The 1,754-nt window shown below is 45.7% G+C and overlaps 1 pseudogene; it reads left to right on the top strand.

Moving 5' to 3' along the window:
- Positions 606-1,538, top strand: LOC100130674 (cathepsin B pseudogene; annotated as a pseudogene).

The raw sequence follows: 1,754 nt of genomic DNA, 5'->3' as shown, positions 1-1,754 counted from the left end.
ATATATATACACACACATATATATATACACACACATATACATATATGTGTATGTGTGTGTGTATATATATTTATATGTATATATATATATGGCATCCAAATTAGAAAAGACAAAGTCAAATTGTCCCTCTTTGCTGATGATATGATCTTCCATCTAGGAAAACCTAAAGACTCCACCAAAAAACTATTAGATCTGATTAATAAATTTATTAAAATTACAGGATATAAAATCAACTTACAAAAATTAGTAGCATTTCTATGAACCCATAATAAACTGGCTGAGAAATAAATACAAAATGCAAGAGTAGAGAATGGGTGATTAGATAGGGCATGTGGAGAAGGAGCACACACGCCCTGCACCTGGGCTTCTGCACTGACTGAGGAAGTTAACAGGTTTGTGACGGGAGAACGACTATAGCCCAACCCTCACATTCCTCTACCTGACCTAACAGAGACCCCCACACCCACTAAAAAACAAATGCTGTTGGTTTCAAAGGAAGACCTAGCGCAGTTTGGTATCCTGGAAAAACTGATCCCTCAGTACCTCCTGTCAGAGGAGAATGTAGCTGAGGTGCATTCATCTTGATGAATCTATGAACTCAGAAAGGTGGATCCAAGATCCATCTTCAGACTTGAGGCGGCTCTTGGCCTCCTTCTGCTGCCTGCTGGTGCTGGCCTGTGCAGGAAGCAGACCTTATTTGCACCTCCTGTCCAAAGAACTAGTCAACTATATCAACAAACAAAACACCACGCAACAGGCCGGGCACAACTTCTGCAAAATGGAATGAGCTACCTGATGAGGCCATGTGGTACCTTCCTCGGCAGATCCAAGCTACTCCAGAGAGTTAAGTTTGCTAGGACATAAATCTGCCTGAAAGCTTTGATCCACAGGAACAGTGGCCAGACTGACCTCAGAGAGATCAGGGACCAGGGCTCCTATGGCTTTTGCTGGGTTTTGGGGGCTTTGGAAGCCATCTCTGACTGGATCTGCATCCACCCCAATGTCTCAGGGAGGAAATCATGTGGCGGTGTCCGTGGAGGACAAGCTCACCTGTTTGTGTGGGGACGGCTGCAATGGTGGTGATCCCAATGAAGGTTGGAACTTTTGGACAAGAAAAGGCCTGGTTTCTGGTGGCCTCTATGACTCTCATGTAGGTTGAAGACTTTTTCCATCCCTCCTTCCCTGTGAGCACCACATCCATGGCTCCATACGTGCGGAAGGGAGACCCCCCAAGTGCAGCATGACCTGCGAGCCTGGCCAGACCTACAAATAGGACAAGCACTATGGATGCAGTTCTTACAGTGTCTCCGAAGCACAAAGGACATCATGGCCACGATCTACAAAAATGACCCAGTGGAGGAAGCCTTCTCTGTGTATTTGGACTTCCTGCTGTACAAGCTCAAAGAATAGCAAGGCGTCACTGGAGAGATGATGGAGGCCATGCCATCTGCATCCTGGGCTGCAAAGTGGAGAACAGCACGTCCTACTGGCTGGTTGCAAATCCTGGAATAGGTACTGGCGTGATAATGGCTTCCTTAGTTTTTATTTTAAGTTCAGGGGTACATGTGCAGGTTTGTTACATAGGTACGCTTGTGTCATGGGGGTTTGTCGTGCCGATTATTTCATCACTCAGATATTAAGCCTAGTACCTGTTAGTTATTTTTCCTGATTTCCTCCCTCCTCCCACTCTCCTCCCTGCAACAGGCCCCAGTGTGTGTTTTTCCCTTCTATGTGTCCATGTGTTCTCATCATTT

This window comes from Homo sapiens, chromosome 4 (assembly GCF_000001405.40).
Source record: "Homo sapiens chromosome 4, GRCh38.p14 Primary Assembly".
In the NCBI taxonomy this organism is placed as follows: domain Eukaryota; kingdom Metazoa; phylum Chordata; class Mammalia; order Primates; family Hominidae; genus Homo; species Homo sapiens.
This window is presented reverse-complemented; position numbering and strand designations above follow the sequence as displayed.